Source organism: Homo sapiens, chromosome 7 (genome assembly GCF_000001405.40).
Source record: "Homo sapiens chromosome 7, GRCh38.p14 Primary Assembly".
NCBI classification, from domain to species: domain Eukaryota; kingdom Metazoa; phylum Chordata; class Mammalia; order Primates; family Hominidae; genus Homo; species Homo sapiens.
In genome coordinates, this window is record NC_000007.14 from 132134480 (window position 1) to 132154991 (window position 20512).

Genomic DNA, 20512 nt, shown 5'->3' on the forward strand with positions numbered 1-20512 from the left:
GCTTCCCTGCTTTGAGCCACAGTGGTACTGGGATTGCAGATCTGTTGTTCTGCCTGGAAAATGGGGAGGCAGAGGGAGGGAGATGACAGCTGTGCTCCCTGGCAAGGGAAGGGGCTGGTCAGAGGGGACTCCCCTGGCCACATACCAGACACTTTCTCAACTGTTTTGCTGAACTGGTAGCATTTTGGCTGGGCAGGAGCCTGAGACAGGCAACAAGGCCAAGGGCGTAATAACATGGCCTTTCTCAGAGCAGCCTGGGTGTTCAGACAGGCCGCCCTGCCCCCGTCTCATTTGTATTTCCATCCTTCACATCTTCTTCCATTCCCCGCCCCTCCTCCACCTTCAGAACCCTCAGGGCCCAGTACCCCTTCCTGTTTCATTTTGCTTTCTTTGCTCCATCCCCAGAAGAGCCTGTTCTCTTCGAGGCCTGTGACCCGCCCCAAAACACATCCTCAGGTACCTCAGGACACAGGGCTCTGAGTAATTTAACGACATTCCAGGTATAAAATTGCAGCGAGACTTGATTCATTGTAACCATTTCTGGAATGCAATAAATGCCATTGTTCCATTTTATAGTGGGACACCAGAGATTTCAGTAGTAGCTCCCAACCTTGCCATTCCCAAGGAGATTTGTGTCATTGTCCCCTTAGGGATCCCATGTCTACCAAGCAAGATATGTTTGTCAAGTAAAGGGCTATCTTCACAGGCTTTATTTGTAAAAAGTGTGAACAAATAACCTCACTCACTTTTGGTACCATGGCCAGCAGCCAGCCACGCAACTCTGGTAACTCAGCTGAGTTCCAAGCTTCCACCAGACAGGTATACTCTGTCACCTGTACACAATCAGAGCCTCTGACCAGGTGAAAAACCCAGGTTCCCATGGAAAGGACACAACTGTCATCAAAAGCAAAGACTCCTGTAATTTCTCTCACCAGCTGTGGAACCTTTCACAGTAGGCAGGTGGCTCTGTCAGGCTTTTTGCAAACAGTGCCAGGGACCTTCTTGCTGCCTTTATAGTCCCCGAGGTGTAAGGAATCCTCGGTTAGGGGCCACTGTGTCTGCAGTGAAGAGACCATCACTAGGGAAAAAAACAGAAGCCCAGCATTCTGCCTTCACAGTGTCTTGCCTCATGGTAGCACACTAAAAGCCCTGTCCATTTCTCCAAAGAGAATATCTAGAAGTATATATGTGTGTGTGAGAAAGACAGAGAGAGCTGCTGGGGTGGAGGGCAGGGAGTTGAGAGTAGGGTAGGACAGGGCTGGGGCCCTGACCATCTCATCTAGAGGTCCTGGGTGACGTGCCTCTCCTGAACACATCATCCTCTCTCTCAGGTCAGGTCCTTGCTGGGTAGCTCCTGTCTCTTTCCTGTTCCCTTTGCACTGGGGAGGCTGGATCAAATCAGGGCACGTCTGTGGCCACATACTATTGACAGGTGGGCCAACTGCATGACCTCATCTTCAGCAAGTTCTAAATCAGCTGAGCTGAATGGCCACCGACAGCCCAGTGTCTGTGGGTGTGGGGCTTAAGTCTTGCTGAGAGTCTACCCTGTTTTTGATCCTAAGCCTGCCTGCTGCTAAGTGGTCCCATCTTCTCTGCAGGGCTTTGTTGATGCTGTCTTGACCCCTCCTGCTCCCCCACTCCCACTCCCTAGCCAGCACCTTGTGCCTGACGCTGACTCATGCGGCACTACCTCTGCCGGGTGAACCTTGCTTCCTTCTCGCTCCTGTTGTGCCGGCCCCAGTGCTGGGCTCCTCCACTGGGAAGCCTTACTGATCAGGAAGAACACAATTAGGCTCTGTTAAGGAACTTTAAACAAGCATTCTCATCTGCTGGCTGTGCATTGAGGAAGGGAAAGGGGAACCTGGGCCCCTGTGCTTGAACTTGCTCCTGTGGGCATTCTGCCTTCAGGTGAGCCCATCTCCAGGAAGTCCTTCAGGACCCCTCCGAGCTGCCCCAGGCCTGACCTGCTAAGAAGGAGCTGGTCCCACCACTGGCCTTCCCTGGTTCTTTTTGCTGAGTTGCTCACAGCAGGGAGGAGGCCAGCACCCCTGAGGTCCTGACATCAGGCCTCTGGGAGCAGCCATAAAGATCAGCACCCCACAGAGCCGCATCCTCCACTGTTGGCCAGTCTGCAGGGTCCTAGTCTGTGGATTTCTATGGGGTAGTGGGATGCCAGCAGAAATCCTGGGCCCAGAGAGTGACAGTGCGTATCTCACATCTGCCTTTAGGTTAGCTCTGTAGTGATTGGGAAGATGGTCTCCAATGCCCTAAACTCTTTGGAAAGGACACAGCGTTGGCATTCCTCCACACACCTCGAGGATGAAGATGCAGGAGTGAAAGATATTTCCAGCCTGATGCTCTGATATTCCCAATATGTACCTTTCAAGGCCCTGAACAAGTCTTTTCCTCTGTGAATCATGGGAGGGTCTCTCTGGGCCCAGCAGAACGAGGCCCCACACCCTGACTTCCCCACTATGATGCTTGTGGGGCCTGCTGAGCATCTGTGTGGCCTCCCTGACCACAGGAGCTGCAAAGAAAGGGTCAAGTTCAATGCATTTCAAGTACCCAACTCACTCATGATGGATACCATTAATGTTTGACCCATGAATTAATGAATATGTTAATGAAATGTCTATATCTCACCTCTAGACTATATCTTGCTCCCAGGGTAAGCTGTCACCATTTTATGTATTTGACTGGATGGTTTCCATAGGAGGCATATTTAAATATTTAAAATTCTTAACCTTTTTTCATGCCGTGACACACATGATAGATGACATTCAAATGTGTGGCACACTCTAGTCCAAACCCCTGTGGCCTGCTGTGACTCCATTCTACTTACTTCTTAAAAGCTGACTGATGGCAAGTGAGTGAGGCCAATGTTGCTGCAAGAATGACCTTTCAACTCTTCCAAGTTAAAATCAGAGGAAATCAATCACTACTAAAGTATGCAAATGTTTTGCTACTGGTAATGACACAAAAACTACAACTAATCACAACACGCCACTTCATGGTGATGACACTGTTGTGTTTTGTCTGTAAGGTGAAGGTAGTAGTTAACTGCTAATTGGAAACCAAGAGACTCTTCTCCCTTTTTCCAGATTCGGCCATAAGCAAAAGCTTAAATTCTTGGATGAGGGGAATGAATACTGGGAATCCACAGTGGGGCTACAAACCACCATTATTACAAGGTACTTGGAGGCAGGAATGGGAGGGGAGGATGGGTGGGGAGATGGTGGGAGGGAGGACAGGTAGGAGGATGGGTGGGAGGAGAGATCGGAGAAGAGATGGAAAAATAGATGGCAGGACAGGAGTGAGGGCAGGTGGGAGGATGGATGGGAGGACAGGCGGGACGATGGGTTAGAGGATGGGTAAGAGAATGAGTGAGAGGAGAGAAGGGAGGGCAGGTGGGAGGACGGATGAGAGGATGAGTATGAGGATGGTGGAAGGATGGGCGCAAAGATGGGTGAGAGGACAGATAAGAAGACTGGTGGGAGACTAGATGGAAGGATGAGTGGGGGATGGGTGGGAGGACAGATGAAAAGATGAGTGGGAGGGTAAAGAATTTCTAGAAGACTCAACATACTGGCAGAATCATCTATGCCATTCAACCAAGAGTTATTGAGGCTTCCTGAATTTATATGCTTCCCTTTTTCACCTGCTCTGAAGAGAGGACCAGCCAGGGTAAGCCCTATTTTTTAGTTGTGATGGTGCAGAAAACCTTCCCCAAATACATGCAGAGCACACTCCACAGCAGTGAGCCTCTAAGTAAAAAGTCCTGGGAGGACTGTCTCCATTTGACCAACAGCAGGGGAGCAAATTCAGAAGTGACCAAGCCGTGGCCAGGTCACTCTACCATCATCCTCAACTGCAGGCTGCAAATTTCCTTGGAATGGGGAGGCGGGAGATCAGGTGTGCTGTGGTCCCAGGTGAGGTCTGCCCTGCCGGACTTTACTTTCCCCTCCAGGGAGCCAGGCAAGCTCGGAGGATACCTCCTCTGGGAGTGGGAGTGGACGTGGACTTGTCCCTCCATCACCAAGTGAAGAAGAACTCTGGGCTTGACCTCAGCCCTGTCTGTGCTGTTTTCTCGATCTATCTGTCTTTGTACCCCGGTCCCGAAAAGGAGAAAAGATTTGGGGCTTCAAGTAAGTGAAAGATGACTTTCTTGAAAGTGTCAGTGGTTGCTAAGACACGAGTGGGATAGGAAATGGAAACCATCAAATCACTCCTAAAAATAACCCAATGGACTGAGTTTACTTGTGACCTGCAGCAGCTGCATGGCACAAACCTCATTGAGCACCAAGCAGAAAGGAGACCACTTGCTCAGCCCATGCATGAGCCTCAGCTCTGACTATGCAGCCTGTTCCTGGGAAGTGTCCTTTATGCAGACACTTTATAAATGTTCCCAGCCCTTCACAGCCCTGGTTTCCCCTTCCCCGCCTGGGGCACTATCACAATGACACTGTGGCACTCGGATGACCAACAGCCCAGCTGCTGCCTCTTCCCCCTCTCCCTGCTGAAGAATTGGCTGTCCACATGGGAGGGGCTGGAGGGCCTGCTCCTGGCAGCTCTATTGTTGGGAGAGTGAGCCACTGTCTACATAGCAGGAGGTGAGAGCCTGTCTAGGTGACTCAGACATAATCAGACACTAGGACAAAAGAGTTAGTTTCCTTTTGGACAGCTGAGGTGGCATGTCCACCACCTGCATCAGTAGGAAAGGAGGAGAGGGTATCAAAGAGCAGAGGGGAGAGGGAAAAACAAAATCAAACCCTTTTAGTGACACTAATGCACTGAGGTGGCCAGGACTCTACTCCCTCTTAGTTATTTCCTTTTTATAAGGGAAGGCAATTTTCAAGTATAAAGACAGAGGCTGTCTCTATCATAGGCAAAATGATAAAGTTCATTTTGTCACCAAGTCAAGAACACCTTCTGGACTCTTTTACTCTTCAAAAGGCACCATATCTGAGCTTCCCTCTAGGTTTCCTATATTTAAGCTACTTAGAATAAAGAGAAAGTCTAAATGCAGGACTGCCATGTAGAGTTGCGCAGGTTATTCACTGCACAAAGGTACTTGGACAAGAGGATGAGCTGGGGGTGACAAAGCCCATCATTCAGCAAACTACGCACTTGGTGTGGGGCTACCTCATTCTGTAGGAAGGGGCATCTTTCTTAAACCATACAGAGGCACCATATGGGTTGGCAGAGGCCCTGTCTGAAAGTAACGCAAATAAGTAGGAAGGTTATTTGGGAGTCAGCTAAGAGGCTTGGGATCTAGTTTCATCTTGGTTCTTTAAATCATCTTGGGCAGATTACTTAGCCATTCTGCATGTATATTTCTTCACCTTCATGGCATAAAAGGAGCTTATAGTTCCTGTCCTCTCCCTAGTACAGGGCTTCTGTGATGAATAAATAAAGCTTCAGCTGGTTGCTTAGTTCAGGTGCTTGGCGTATGGAGCTGATGTGGCTCAGACAAACCATTAACCTTCTTTACCATGAGTCGCACTGCCCTAGGAAGAGCCCAGCCCTGCGGCTCATAGGGGGACCTTCAGTCACGAGAGCTCTGCAGGACACTGGGATTTGATCACAACGCTGCAAGAACCAGGGCATTAAGAGCTCATGCAAGAGTCAAGGGATGGGGAGAGTGAGAAACTGTTCAGACAGTGACAAAGGCATCCCCACTGAATGCTGGGAACTGCCAGCCAGACGGTAGCAGATGGGTAGAGGCCTCCAGCCTTTTCTGCAGCAATGATGTAGTTTGGCCCCTTGAAGTGTTATGATGACAGTTTTTATTTATTTTTTGGGGGGTGGGTGGTGAAGATCAGAGCTGGGAGCCGCATCTCCTTTCTGGGCCTAGAAGACATTTCAGCCACTAGGCTCCAGGGCCTGTTATCTAGGGAAGCTGAGCTACCATGGCAACCTCTGGCCAAGTTTTCCTATTCTGGTTTCAGGGGACAGCAGCACTGGGACTTGGGGGTGTGGGTGTTGCAGTGGCAGGATTAGGCTTTGTGAATGACTCATCTGGAAACACAGCTGGTTTTTGATGGGGAGGGGACCTTTTGTTGAGGGAGCTGCTGGCTCCAGCAAGGGGCCCTGACTTGGCTCCGTGGCCCAGCACTCACCTCTCCACCCAATTCTTGTAGCTGGGGATGTCCTTGGCATACAGCAGCTTGTTGGAGGGCGAGTCCTTGCCCAGCCGGTGCTCTGACGTGGAGCAAGAGTCCATGAAGGTCTGAGCCACCACAGAGAGGCAGGCGTCTGTGATGCTGTTCTTATGGATGTCAAACACAAACTGCGGGTTCTTGATCATGTTGACCCAAAACCTCAGGGGCAGGCTGCGTGGAAGGAAGAGGCAGATGGTCAGGAAAGACGGGGCAGTGGGGCTGTGGTGTGGGTAGGAGGGGTCTCTGGAGAAGGAGAGAAGCCTGGGGAACTAATAGAACTTAAGAGCCTTCTCTATGCTGCGGATGGGATGTGCCAGGGAAGGGAGGTGAGGCAGGTCTGCAGGGCCCCAATTTACCTTCCAGGAAACTGAGGACTGGCAAGGCTGAATAATTCATCCAGAGATATAATGTTGGTAGGTACTTGAGAGGACTTGATACCCAGCCTTGATGGCAGGGCTCATCATCTTCCCTTTGGTCTAAAAGGCAGCCATGATGTATGCTATAAAGCGGAATTTCTAACTCTCTGTCTGTCTGCTCCTAAGCCTGGTACAAGAGCATCTAGTTGGCAAACTGTAAGGAATTGCTTGGAATCTAGGCTTTGTATCTGACTCTCTGCCATCTACTGTATGACTTGGCAGAAGTCACACCCTTCCTCCCTGCCTGGGCCTCTCAGCCTACTCCTACTGGGGCTGAGAAGTACAGTGTAGCTGACTGATTTTTCATTTCTAAGCTGGCACGCTTGAAAACCCACATTCACCCACCTCATGGGCCCCATCGTATTCCCTCCTTCCCCTCCAGTTGGCACCTCCTGCCCACCAGGAACTGTGCTTGCAACTGGGGATACAGTGATGAATGAGACACATCCTCTGCTCTCAAGAAGCCTGCATTCTGGTGGGTTCATGGAAAGGCAGACATGAAATCAACTACATGCCGGGAGGACTGTTGGTGCTAGGACCAGGGATGTGTAGGGTCCAGCATGGGACCAAGGGAAGCATCAAGCCTACCCAGAGGGCAGTGTCCAGAATGCCTTCACAAAGGGGGCACTTGATGGTGGGAGTTTTAAAACTTGTGTAAGTCTTTCCTTTCCTTTCTTTCTTTTTCTTTCTTTCAATGGAGTTTTGCTCTGTCACCCAAGCGGGAGTGCAGTGGGGCGATCTCAGCTCATTGCAACCTCTGCCTCCTGGGTTCAAGCGATTCTTCTGCCTCAGCCTCCTGAGTAGCTGGGACTACAAGCAGCCATCACCACACTCAGCTAATTTTTATATTTTTAGTATAGATGGGGTTTCATCATGTTGGCCAGGCTGATCTTGAACTCCTGATCTCAGTTGATCTGCCCACCTCTGCATCCCAAAGTGTTGAGAATACAAGGCGTGAGCCACTGTGCCTGGCCTGTGTGTTTCTTAGCAGGGTGAGGCCTGGAGGAAGGTGGTGGAGGATGGGCTGCAGACAGGAAATCTGCATTAACAAAGACAAAGAGGGAAAAGTGTGCCCTGCAGTCTGCTATTGTAAGCCTGTTGCTTATAATGTCCCAATCCTGGGACCTTCTGCCCCTTTTGGCTGTAGCCATCCCTGCAGGCTATAATCCTACGGCTTCCAACCAGCCTGCTTGGACGCAGGTGGGAAAGAGGGCTAGGCACCATGCAAGGGATTGCTTACTTCTTTCCTCTGCTCCCACCTCTGCCTCCTGCCATTTCCCCTGATGTTTTATTGTTTTGGTGGTTGTTCTCACTGATGGTAATAGTTAGAATATTCATTATGTGTTTGGCTTGCTCGTTAGAACTTAAATTCTTTGAATTACATCATTTCAATAGAACCAGTACAATATTTCTATACTTGCTCTATCTCCCAGCAGCCAGCATGTACAAATAACAAATGCTATTAATACAGGAAAACCTAATGTTCAAGACTGCCAATCAGTCGACAAGGATCTATTAAGTTCCTACAAAGTGTGCAGGGCGGGACTCAGGCAGGCAGCATTGAGGTCTGAAAATGTTTGGCGGTGTTTGCTTCATCCCTGGAAATCCCTAATAGGAAATAATGGGATGGCACCCAGGAAAGCTCAGACAGCCACAACACCCAGGTGAAAGTAGGGGTCATTCCAGCTGCCCAGCCTTCCTGACAGCTGGGCTCAGAGCCCTGAATGCAGGACTCACGACTTCCAGCTAACGAAATCTCTGTTTACATCTTCCTGTTGTTCCACAAGTTACACCAAGGATAGGGACTCTGGGAGTCCACATTTGCTCTGCCGGTTGTTTCTTCCCTATGCTTCCCGGTCCTCAAGCCAGTTTTGCTGACAGGCACAGCAAACAGGGAAGCCACAGCACCCACCTGAGGTTCCCGCCTAATGAAATATTAGCATATTATTAACATTAGTGGTGGCACTAATCTCTGGTTGATTGCAGCCACTCAGGCTAAATGAGCAGGAGGTTTATTTAAAAGAGAAGAGGTAGGGAACTGTGGAAGAAGGGGGTGGGGAGAGGGTGGGTTACACCTTGGGCCAGGAATAAAAAAATAATCACTTTTCCATCAGAGACAATTAACTCCAAGTCAATATGCAGATCTTAAAATTCCCAGACTGTGTCTTCCTCAGCATAGCAATAGATCAAGTCAGGGTTGGGGGAAAGTGTCCTCAGGGTTGGGGGAAACTGTCTACTTTCTGGGATTTCCTTTGCTCAGACCTGAGTACTTGGAAGAGCTGGCATCCAAGAAGATTTGGCTCCACTCCAAGGACATTATGGCACCCCTGGAGGTGGCCTTGCCCCAGCAGGAGGGATGGGGTGAAAACAAATGGTTTAGATACCATTGTAGGTGATATTCTTGCACTGTGCTACTAAAAGCAGGTAGAAATGTTTAGAAAGACCCAACTTTCTCCAGCTAGGACCGAGAGAAGTTCTGGGCAGAGCATTTTTTTTTAAAAATTTCCTGAAGGCTGCTAACATTCAATGGAGGCAGTAAGTAGGAAGACTCACTAACAGAAGCAGATTGGTAGGCTGGGGACATGCCCCACTGAACAGCTCCCAGTAGTCACGCCACAAAGTCTAGAAGAGTTAAACGCATCTTACCTAAAGGCAGGTCCTGGGAGATATCAGACCCAGCACAGCTTTAAAAGGAGGAAATCGCATCACAAAGTTTTGCTACACTGAGTGAGCAATCTAGATTTTTGAGTCTTATTTCAGAAAGGTTGGAAGAACCCCAGAACGAAGGTCTTCTCTCACTAGGAGTTAATATGGGAGCAAACCCCATGCTTTGGTTCTGTGGTCTCAACCTTGGTTCCTACCTGGTTTTTCATATTCAGCAGGGATAGTCTCTTCTCCCGGTGAAGAGGATGAGGAGCCAGAGTATACTACATTGAATACAGTTTTGGTACCAAAGCCTGACTTCTGCCTTCATCTGTGCATTGCTTTGGGGCCCAGGGCTAGGTGCCAGGGTGCTTCGCTGAGCCCTAATGCTTTGCCCATCCTAGCAGTTGTTGGTGCGGGCAACAGGCCCACACTGCCTCAGAAGAATGATCTGGGGAAGAAGATCTGGAAAAGCTACAGGGAGGCAGTTCTGGAAGCAATGGGACAAAGGATAAGCCAGCTTTGCCTCAGGTAGAGCTCTCAACCAGAGACCACCTTGGCTCTGCATCTCATCAATAATTATTGAGACCCAGCTTTATGCAAGCTTCCGTACTAAGTGCTGAATACTGATGTGCGATCTTGAAATTTCAACCTGAAATACAAATTACTCACAAGTGAAAGGAAGGATGATCCATGTTAAAAGGAGAGAGGGGATCATAGGGGAGAACACCTAGAGTGTCAATTAGTACTTGGAGAATCCTGTTGTCTCAAAGGAAGACATAGTGGTTAAGGGCAGGTCTCTTCACCACACAGAGCTTGGAAAAGAGAAGAGAGCAATTGCTTGAATAGAATAGGAATGCCCTTTGTTCACCTGGCTGGTTCCTAAGTGTGTTTCAAAACTGCTTGCAAGTCACTGTTAGACATTGCCCTTCTAAGATCTGGTTGCACACGACACATCCTCCATCTTCCATAGCATTTGTCCCACACCAGCAGACTTCCTTGCCTCTCACCCTCATCTGTCAGTTCATTGAGGGCAGGGGCCATGTCTGATTAGCCCCGTGTCTAGCATAATCACAGGCACCCAGGAGGTACTTGGATGGGAGAGTGTCCTGGCCGTGACATTTGGCATATTTTTCTTGCTTCTTCAGCTGGTTCAATAAATGTTTGTTAACTGACTAAGTGATAGGAAAGAAAGATGCACAGACAGATTTGACTAGAGGGAAGTAAGAGAGGGAGTGAGCACAAAAATCTAGGAAGAGTGGATGGGGAGGACCAGAGAATGTGCCTGCTCAGAGTCCCTGCTGATGAAAACAGGCTCTGGCCAGCCCTTCTCCTGGAGGCCCAGAGTCCCACCACCATTAACTTGAGGCTGGGTGGGCTCAGGGCTCCCGATGTGCCCCCTGCCCTCCCTTCACTCACCAATTGCTCTTCCAGGTATGGCGGACGTGCGGGTCATGAATGCCATGTTTATCAGCCTGCTCATCCAGGAAGTCAAACATGTACTTGATGGCCAGGGGCAGGGCAGAGCCACGGTGTGCCGTGCTGAAGATGGTCTCAAAGAGGTCATCCACAAACTTCTGCAGTGTGCCCTGGAGAGGCAGGATACGTCCAGACACAGCTCGACTCACGTAGTTCTGAGGATGGCTTTTAAAACCTGCCTCACAGACCTAGGCAGGGGAGGATGGTATACAGCCCACCCTACTTGGGTAAAATTGGGTAAGTCCATGCATTAAATCATTTTTTCCCATTTCATCTGTCTCTAACAGCTTTAAATTTCCCCTGCACATGGAAAAGAGATATAACACTGATGACTGGACCTACGTAAGGCTTCCTCTGCCAACAACACGGTTTGGTTGAACACCCTCTGGCGGTGTTATTTTAGCACTTTTCACAAATGCTAATGAACACTCACTTGGTCAGAGCAGACAAACACAATCTGCTGGCTTTGTTTGGGCATTACTCACACTGGCTAATGAACAGTGACTCACTTGGCTCTGCAGAGAGCAGAGCTGAGCCCAGTCTCAGGAGTGAAAGACTAGCACTGCAGGCAAGCAACGTCCCCAGAACCAGGATTAGAAATGGTGCCGGAGGCCAGACACGGTGGCTCATGCCTGTAATCCCAACTTCTGGGAGGCTGAGGCGGACGGATCATTTGAGGCCAGGAGTTTAAGACCAGCCTGGCCAACATGGTGAAACCCCACCTCTACTAAAAATACAAAAAAAAAAAAAAAAAAAAATTAGCCAGGCGTGGTGGTGCATGCTTGTAGTTTCAGCTACTTGGGAGGCAGGAGGATTGTTTGAACCTGGGAGGAGGAGGTTGCAGTGAGCAGAGATTGCACCACTGCACTTCAGCCTGGGTGACAGAACAAGACTCTGTCTCAAAAAAAAAAAAAAAAAAAAAAAAGAAAAGATATGGTGCCTGGGAAGTCGTGATGGAGCCCCGACTTCCCCAACTTGAGATTGTAGATGATACCACAGAGAAGAAATCATTCTTTTATAAGGCATGGCAGAAGAATGTGAAAAGAGGCAGTTAGAGTCTCAGTATTTCAGAAGGGCATGGAGAAGGGGTAGAAACAAATCTTCAGATTGCATGCCAACACTGATGTATTGGCAGGGTTTGCCTGGAGTTCTGGATTGAGAAGGATTCTGAGGTTCGGTACGGGGAATGGTCAGCAGTGCCTCCTGGGGTGGGTAATAGAGTGGGCACCAGCATGAATGCTGGGTACTGGCTACTCTGGCATTTCTGTGGGCTGATGAAGTCCCTCTCCATAGCCTCTGGGCTCCCTGCACCCAGTTCTCAAGTCTGATACCTTAGTGGCCAGGAGTCGGGTCAGGTAGATTTCAGACACCATCTTGCTCCCCCGGTCCCCCTCCTTCTGGTCTCCGTGCTCGTGGTTCTTCACTAGGTGCCACATCTTGACTCCACTCTCCAGGTCAGGAGTGATCATAGGTGTCCGTGAGCGGAGGCTGTCGGGGCTGCCCGTGTACCGGATCATGTTTTCTGCCAAGGCAAGGATCACCCCCCGACATATGTGAGGCCACACAGCCTTAGCCCATCACTTACCATGCATCCCTTGCTCCGGCAGAAGCCAACGACTGTCTGATCATTCCTGCCATTGGTCGGTGCTGTCACCTTGCCTTGGTTTGGTGCATTCCCTGAAACTGGGATGCCTTTCTCACCACCTCCAGGAAACTATCTGTGGCTAATTCTACCCACTCAGATCTCCCCCTTCTTCCTGTACTCTGCATCGTGTCAACCCTTAATTATTCAATTTGTAAAAATATAAGCCTGTACTTTTTTAATGCTTTTCCTTGTAAGAGTTCTCAAGTCACGTCTCAGGATGTGTTCTGTGCAGCCAATTAAGTACATACTTAAGAGCAGGTAGCCTGTCTCCCTCAATAACCGCTGATCGGATGAGTAATCACTGGGTAACCTGCTCACCTTCGTCTGTCCTCCCCTCTGGCCTGCGCCAATTATTCCTGTTTATTTGCTGAAATTCCTGCCAGTGTTTGTGAAGTGTTGTGAAATGAGTACTGAGCAGGAAAAAGAAATGGCGGTCCTACTGTGTGCAGGCACTATTCTCTGTATTCATCTATTGATTATCTAGAATGATCCTGTTCAGTCGGTAGATTTTTCAGTCTCTTCTTCTGGTAAATAAATAAATAACCAAGGCTCATAGTGGTCAGATGACTAGCCCCAAAGCACACAGATAGGGCAGAACAGGGCTTCTTCTGGCTTCTACCCCACCTCCAGCACCCTCTCCTCACCACTGCAGAGCCTCGCACCTGGTCTGTACCTGCACTCCACTGCAAAATAACAGTGGCTCTTACAAATCATTTAGCCTCTGTGCACCTGAGTTATAATGTACTAATCTGCATAATAGGGGGAAATAATAATTATTTAATTCACTAGATTGTTATGAACATGATGTGAGATAATAGCTATCACACAGCCTGGAAGACATTCATGAAAGTTGGCTTTACTTCTTTTGCTCGTGGATGAAGGTCTTGCTTATGCATCAGAGTGCCCGACTGAAACCAGGGTCCTCTTCCCCCACCTGGCTCTCTTCCCCGATGGTCAGCCTGTCTGATGCCCCATCTCCCCTCTCCAAGAGTCTCCTGCCTTCTGGCTATGCTGCTGTCATGACAACAGCTGCTCAGGACACCCAGGCCTCCCTAGGACACTCGGTGGGATCTTACCATATTTACTTGCTGAGGTCCTGGAGACGGTGGAGTTGTTCACTGCGTTATAGGCTGTCACCTGCTTGGACACTAATGCCACCACGGAACCATCTGGCACCTACAGGGAAAAAGCTTCTCAGGGCCTAGGCACAGCAGCTCTGCCACTCCAGGAAATAAGGACAAATCATGATGAACTTGGCACTAAGGGGAAATTGGTGCCTTGCTGGAGAACTAGGGGACTTTGGAGGCTGTCAGCTTTCCTTGGAGCAGAACAAGACACAGATCTGGATACTGACAAGTATTCTGTTTTGTGGCTTCTCTTGGAGTAACTTCTGGCAAGAGCTCCTCCCTAGCATTCTCAATCCCAGTGCTTCCCTGGAAGATGACCCAGCCTTAAATGCCCAGAGGAACTTCTCAGGAGAGCCTTCCCTGGGGACTCTGCCCATGCCCTGCAGAAAGTGTGCATGTCAGGATGCTATCTCCAAAGAGGTCAGGGTTTCCTGGTTTCTTGGCTGGGAGACACCAATTTCCTCTGGATCACTAAGGGAACATGGAGTGCTGGTGAGGGGCTTGGTGTCTACCCCTGTTATTCCAGGGCAATGATTTCCAGGGCAAGGGACTTGTAGTTGGCTAGCTCCTCCCCTTTCCACATTCCCCTCACCTGGTAGTGGGCCAGTGTGTTCAGTCGCTTCCAATCATTCTCAATCTTGGTGGTGATGTCTTCATCCTGCAAGATCATCCTTGCCCCACTTCCTTGTCGCCACTCTGCCAAAAGAGCGGTGGCGTTTCAGAGAGGCCCTATGACCCCTCTTGTGGGGAAGCTGAGGACCCTGTGTAGGTACCTATGCAGTGCTAGCTCAAGGGTGTGTCCATTGCAAGTGCTAGCACATGCTCCTGCGAAAATGGAGTGCCAAAGCTCTCAACGCAGAGAGGCCCTGAGTTCCAGTTCTGGTTCTAAGCCCAACAAACTATGTGACCAAAATGGGGCTAACATCACTTATCCACCCTTGCCCATCTGCTTGCTGTGAATGGCTACATCTGTAAAAAGTAGGTGCTCAAAAAGTATTGGCCAAACAAAAGAGGCACATAATAAAACACTAAGCTTTGACAAAGCATGAGGCAAATGCAAAGTGGCATAGTTGTGGTAGCGTGACTTGTTTGGAAGCTCTTAGAGCTGATGAAATCAAGGCTGTAGGCTCAGTCACTGAACAGCCCCAGACCTGTTCCAGGGGTGTATCCTACAGGGTGAAACTGGCAGGTGTGTCACCCTTGTCAGGGAGATTGGGTCAAAGAGTGTGGAAAAAATCAGCAAAACCCATTCTCACGCCCATGAACATCCCATTCCCTGCAAAGTTTATGTAAATGATATCAACGTTGTAATCTATCCAACACCTAATTGTTTGATGTTACAAGGATATATTTACATCCCCATATTATTCTCACGGGTCCAAACACCTACAATACATGGGCTTACTGATGGATCACACATGGAAATGGGAGGCTGTTTCTCATCAACCAAATCCCCACCACCATACTTGGTACAAATCACGTGTAGGTGGAGAAGTGCACATTCTTATCTCGAAATGTACACACATGAAAATCCATGTGCATGTCAGACACACATAAACTCATGCAGCACACACATGTATGAGCTCACGCATCCACACATACCATTCTCATGGACATATACCAGAAAGGAAAAACAGCCTCTTAAATTCAAATGCAACGTGTGTTCCAGCCAAGAAGCCAGACGTTTGGTTTCCAGGCAGCCCAGATCCTGCTCAATGCCTCTCAGATGCTGATACTTCTGAAATGTGCAAAGAATGCTGGGCTCGTTCAGAGTGTCGTTAGTTGCTGGATTAAGTGGCCTGGCAGTCACTGCTTGACCCACCAGGGATTTCTTCCTATGTCTCACAGAGCCACATGTTCAGATTCTCTTCCTCGTTTCCCTCCTGCCAAGGCTGGTCCATGACCAGCCACATTTGTGGCAGAGAGCACCAATTCCTCCCTGCATTGTGTATTTGTTGTGGTCTGTGCTGCCAACCCCATTTCACAGATGGCATGCCCTTTGGAATAGCAGAGATGCTCCTAAAATCTAAGCCCCTTGCCTCCAGTCCCTGGGGCTCCAGTCCCTGGGGCTTCCCTGCTGCCTGATTTACAGCTTAGCATCATGTCAGGTGGTCAAAGGAATGAAAGCATAGGGACTACATGCTTGTTCACTGGAGCAAGAAGTCTCTGGGGACCATCCATCCCTTAGTCCTGTGGATGTCACAGCTGGGATTGCTCATGGTGATTATGGTCTGGGGTGGTTAGACTAATAGGCAAAGGGGAAAATGCCTCACTGAGGTATCTGGTCACTAGCGTTTTTGCTTGTTATTGTGTTGTTTTTTTCTTCAGTTTTTTTGTTTTGTTTTTTATTTTATGGAGGTATGCATGCATGCACTTTTGAGTGGTTGGAGCAAAGGAAGAGGAATCTCTCCAAGCTGGCCAGACAGCTGATGTGCTGTGCAGTTGGATGCTGGTGGACACCAGTCTGGGTTGGGGAGTATACGGCAGTGAGCCTCCCCCACTTGCATGGTGAGTGGCACCTGGTTAAGTCAGAGGCTACATAGGGGTGGAGGAACAGCTTTGGGGCACAACAAAAAAAAGGAGCCAGCATTCTGCTTTCCTCATATTTAGGGTAGGGAGAGGGATGCAATGAACTCAGCTCTGGACACTAAGTCCTCTGGCTGGGCCCAAGGGAGTCTCCTCCACTGAAGTGACCATGGGGCTTGCTAGGACTAGAAGGAGAAGGTGCCAGTGGAGAGACAGCCCTCTAGCTTAGCAACTGCAAGGGCACTGCTTGCTGATAAAGAATTGTAGCACATCTCAGGAGCATCTGAATGAATAAACCACATGGCCTGGCCAACTAGGCAATGACAGTTGGTGACTGATTCTGGGCTCCAGGGCAGGTCTTCCACCATGATGCACAATTCCCCTTAGAGCTGTGCAGTGCACAGCCTGGGCGGCCATACTCAACAACCCTGGCTGAGTCATGCCCGGAAATTATGAGAATGAGAGTCCACCTACCTCCATGCCCCTATCCAAAAAGACTGGGTAGAGCATGGTCATGTCTCCTTGGGAATTATCTCAAAAAGTCAGGAATGTTTTCCCAAAAGCCAATATGGAGAGAGGGGGCTGGAATCAAGGAGTACACTTAGCTTGCTTTTAGATCTCTCAAGCCTATTATTTTGTTATGTCCTAGACAGAAAAAAATTGCTATGTGCTTTTTTTCTGAAATATCAGAAAGGTGAAAGAATAAGAAGAAAGGAGAAAGAAGAAGAGAAGGAAGAAGACGAAGAGGAAAAAGAGGAGAAGAGGATGAAGAGGAAGAAGAAGGAGGAGGAGGAAGAAGAAGGAGGAGGAGGAGGAAGAAGAAGGAGGAGGAAGAAGGAGGAGGAGGAGGAAGAAGAAGGAGGAGGAGGAGGAAGAAGAAGGAGGAGGAGGAGAAAGGAGGAGGAGGAGGAGAAAGGAGGAGGAGGAGGAGGAAGGAGGAGGAGGAGGAGGAGGAAGGAGGAGGAGGAGGAAGAAGAAGGAGGAGGAGGAGGAGAAAGGAGGAGGAGGAGGAAGAAGAAGGAGGAGGAGGAGGAGAAAGGAGGAGGAGGAGAAAGGAGGAGGAGGAGAAAGGAGGAGGAGGAGAAAGGAGGAGGAGGAGAAAGGAGGAGGAGAAAGGAGGAGAGGGAGAGGGAGGGGGAGAAGGGGAAGGAGAGGAAGGAGAGGAAGAAGAGGAAGAAGAAGAAAGTAGTAGTTGAAATTGTTGTTTTGTAGCATCTACAACTTAGTCCTGATGAAAGAGAGCCCAGACTGACGGGCAGCTGGTGTGGGCAGCTCCATCCCTGAGGCTTTCAGGAAAGAAGCAAGGATCACAAGAAGCCTACCCAGCTGAACCCAGAATGGAGGAGAGAGGGTGGAGTATAACTGGCGGGCAGCCCCACATTCCCTGGCACAGAATAATTCAAGTAGGCTGACAAGGAAAGCCACTCCTTAATGTCACTCTTCTCTACCCAAATTCCTTACTTTTACCCTGTTGGCCAGAACCCACTTTCACTTCCATACTTACCTGCCCTCCTTCCTTTCCTGAAACCCCTTCTTCAGGCCAGTTATGGTCTCTATTTTCCCTAGGCTCATCACGGAATGTCTCAAGAAGATCAGATAGTGGGCATGGGCTCAGCTTTCTGGAGCGCTCTTGCACGACTTCCTGACCTTCTCTCAATAGAAATCTGAGCCATAGAGCTCTACTGAGTAAAGCAGGGGCCAGGAAAAGCCAAGGTCAAAGACCATCGCAGGTGGCTTCCCTCTAGCCCAGGAACAGTGCCCTCTCCTAAGCTGCATGGCTGGGCTCATAAAATCTCATCCCCACCCCAGAAGTAAAGATCCCAAGGTCAGGTTGAGTCAGCTGAGGATGAGACAGCCCTGCCACCTTAGATATGAAGGCCAGCACCCTGGTCCCCTCACGGTGTGCACGACTGGCTGAATCAGCCTCAGGAGGCCCTCTGTGAGGGCGGTATCTAATTTTGTGCTGTGTTGCATATTCAGTGTGTGCTTAGTTTTAATAACAGTAATGAAAATAAATAGAACCCAGGTCCCCCAGTGCTTGATCCAGCCCTCTTTTCACCAGATGGGCTCCTTCTGTCTTGCCTATAAAAAATGTCACTAAAAATATCTCTCTTTTGAGTCTCTACCTTGCTCCGTAGGAGGTGACCACATTAGGACAGCCAAGAGGCAATGTCGTAGCTCAGCCAATGGCCAGCATCCTCCCGTGAAGGCTGAGCCTCTTGGGCATTTTTTGCCTGCCTGTGGGGCACAGTGAGAAGCTGGAAAATACCTCCCAGGCATCAAATGCTATGAGATGCTGAGCTCAGAGAGAGCTGTAGCAAATCCTGGGGCAGAGTGACTCCTCACAAACACCTTCTCCTACAAAAGAGGACACCTACAGTCCCATCTCACAAGATGCATCTCCTGCAGTCTCTGTGGTGAGAATCCAGGTCCAGGAGGTGTTGCAGCTCCACGCTCACTCATTCATCAAAGAACACTTGCCATGTGCCCCCAGTGTGCTGGGCATGGCCAACTGGGCATGAGAGGTAGTTAAACAGGGAAACGGGATAAAACATAAGCCCTTGCCCTTGAAGACTCCTTGTGTGGAGAGGCTGTGCAAGAGCCTGCTGGTCAGGGCAGGGGTGAGACAGGGAAGAGGAGCTATGGGGAGCTGGTGGGAAAGGGCTGCCCAGGTTAAATTGTGAAGGATGAGTAGGCGTTCACTGGCTGGCCAGGGGGACAAGTGTTCTGGTCCAAAGGTGGCACTCATGTTGTAGTTCTAGGGATCGATGAGTCTGAGCAGGAGAAAGTTGAGAGGCTGGAGAGGTGTAGGGAGGTCAGGAGCTAAGTTAAGAAAGATCCAGCATGCCATGCCAAGGTGTCTGGAGCTGAGCTGAGGCCAGGGAGACAGAGCGGGGAGGGGATAAGGAGAGGAGAGCATTATTAGAGGGGCAAAGAGGCATGAGCCCTGTCGGGATGGCCACCTTTGTCCAAAGCAGAAGTGGCAGCGAGGACCTAAGTGAAGGTAGTGGGGCAGGGGTGTGGGTTTCAGGGATGCTCAGAAGATGGCCAGGTCATGCCTGTAGAGTCTCTAGGAAGGGGAGAGGTAGGGGGACCCTGGCCTGCCTCCAAGTGTGTGGAGATCCATGTAATTGGCAGTGGGAAGCTGAGGCATAGATAGGAAAGAGATCCTCCACAGGCCAACCTGGAAGGAGATGCTTGCATGGAGGACCCCACTGGCCTGGCTCTTGAAGAGTCCCCTACCTACCAGTAGGTGCCATGCTGAGAGGCAAACTCTCCCCAGGGTGCACAGCACCTGATAGTTCTGGCCCTCACAGTGTAGACATGCAGGTGGGCCCAAGGGCACCCACACATGTACACACACATGTGCACATGCACCTTTTCCACCAGGCTGGGGACCCTTCAGGCTTTGCAATAACCCCACTTCCAGTCTTCCTATCATCATCTCTCCTCAGACCCATCCCAGGAAGCTTCAGGAAGGGCTGCTGAAGAAAGGAAAGGGTGGAAGGAGCCACTAACCAGGCTAGGTAGAGCCAGCAAAATCGACCTGCACAGTCCACGCAGGACCACCTTCATGACCACATGCCTGGACCTCCACCCCTGCCACCTTTTCTTACCTTGGGGGCACTGTGAACAGGTTCTCACTAGGAGCACACACCAGCACTGCACAGGGCCCACTCCACCCTCCAAACCCCGGGCTGAGAAGGAGGCTGTAGGGGGAGACAAGATTCTATGGCTCTGCACGCCTGTCAGCAGGTGAAACCCAAGGAAACACCTGACAGGGAGCCCTGAGACCTTCAACACCTGGCCACGCTGAAGTGCTGGGAGCAGGCACCGGAGAAGAGCTGGGAGAGCCAAGAGAAGATCAGAGTGTATCTGCTAAAAAGGTCAGAAAATTCACCTGGGAGCAGGAGGGGTGACATCTAAAAACGTTCTGTTTTTTTTTTTTTTTTAATTATTGTGACAGCAAGTGTGACACCTGGTGCTTAAAAGAAGAAGTTCCTGAATAGAAGTGCATTATTTGCACTGAAGGTACTAGATCTTTGTAAACTGTAAAGTGCTGTGCACTGGTCAGTTGTTGCTATTTGGGGATGCCTAGAGAGCGAAAGGCAAACGCAGGCTGAGCCCCGCTTCCTGATTTAAGAGAGACAAGCTAGAACTTAGTAGATATTCTTGAATGTGGAACACAGGGCTCTGGCATGGCTCCAGACAGTGTGGTGGGTCAAAGAAGAGTTTAGAGGGCAGGTGGTGTCAGTGGGAAGGAGGGAAGGTGACCCTGGCACTCATATGCATGGCACCAAGAGAAAATTGCTAGCTCTGACCTCTCTCGCAGCAGCTCTGCCCGGCAGCCGGATGCCCTGCTCCAGGCACCAAGCACAAAGGACAGACACACTCACAATCCAATTTGTTACATTTCCACCTTCCAGGGAGAGAGGGAGGTGAAATAAAAAATAAAGAAAAATCCCATTATCTTTATCTGTCCTTCCCATCAGGTGCAGAGGAAAATGCAAACTG

The 20512-nt window shown here is 49.7% G+C and overlaps 1 protein-coding gene across 5 annotated transcripts in view, besides 2 other annotated features; it reads right to left on the reverse strand.

Annotated features, from left to right (window-relative positions):
• PLXNA4 (plexin A4) overlaps window positions 1-20512 on the reverse strand; it is a 525349-nt gene that overhangs the window by 11140 nt on the left and 493697 nt on the right. For all 5 annotated transcript variants that reach the window (NM_001393897.1, XM_017012779.1, NM_020911.2 and 2 more), the window contains 5 exons: window positions 14064-14167; window positions 13421-13520; window positions 12031-12221; window positions 10640-10809; window positions 6120-6332 (listed from right to left, as the gene is read on the reverse strand). In NM_001393897.1, coding sequence (NP_001380826.1) covers window positions 6120-6332; window positions 10640-10809; window positions 12031-12221; window positions 13421-13520; window positions 14064-14167 — 778 coding nt within the window. The remainder of the gene's footprint in view (window positions 1-6119; window positions 6333-10639; window positions 10810-12030; window positions 12222-13420; window positions 13521-14063; window positions 14168-20512) is intronic.
• Window positions 211-711: an enhancer, noted in NCBI's record as "H3K4me1 hESC enhancer chr7:131819449-131819949 (GRCh37/hg19 assembly coordinates)". NCBI's record gives its function as "activates a minimal SCP1, AML or CMV promoter by ChIP-STARR-seq in naive H9 embryonic stem cells {active_cell/tissue: H9 hESC(naive)}" and the evidence as "EXISTENCE:reporter gene assay evidence [ECO:0000049][PMID:30033119]".
• Window positions 5157-5357: a silencer, noted in NCBI's record as "peak6730 fragment used in MPRA reporter construct". NCBI's record gives its function as "represses an SCP1 promoter by STARR-seq MPRAs in K562 erythroleukemia cells {active_cell/tissue: K562}" and the evidence as "EXISTENCE:reporter gene assay evidence [ECO:0000049][PMID:32103011]".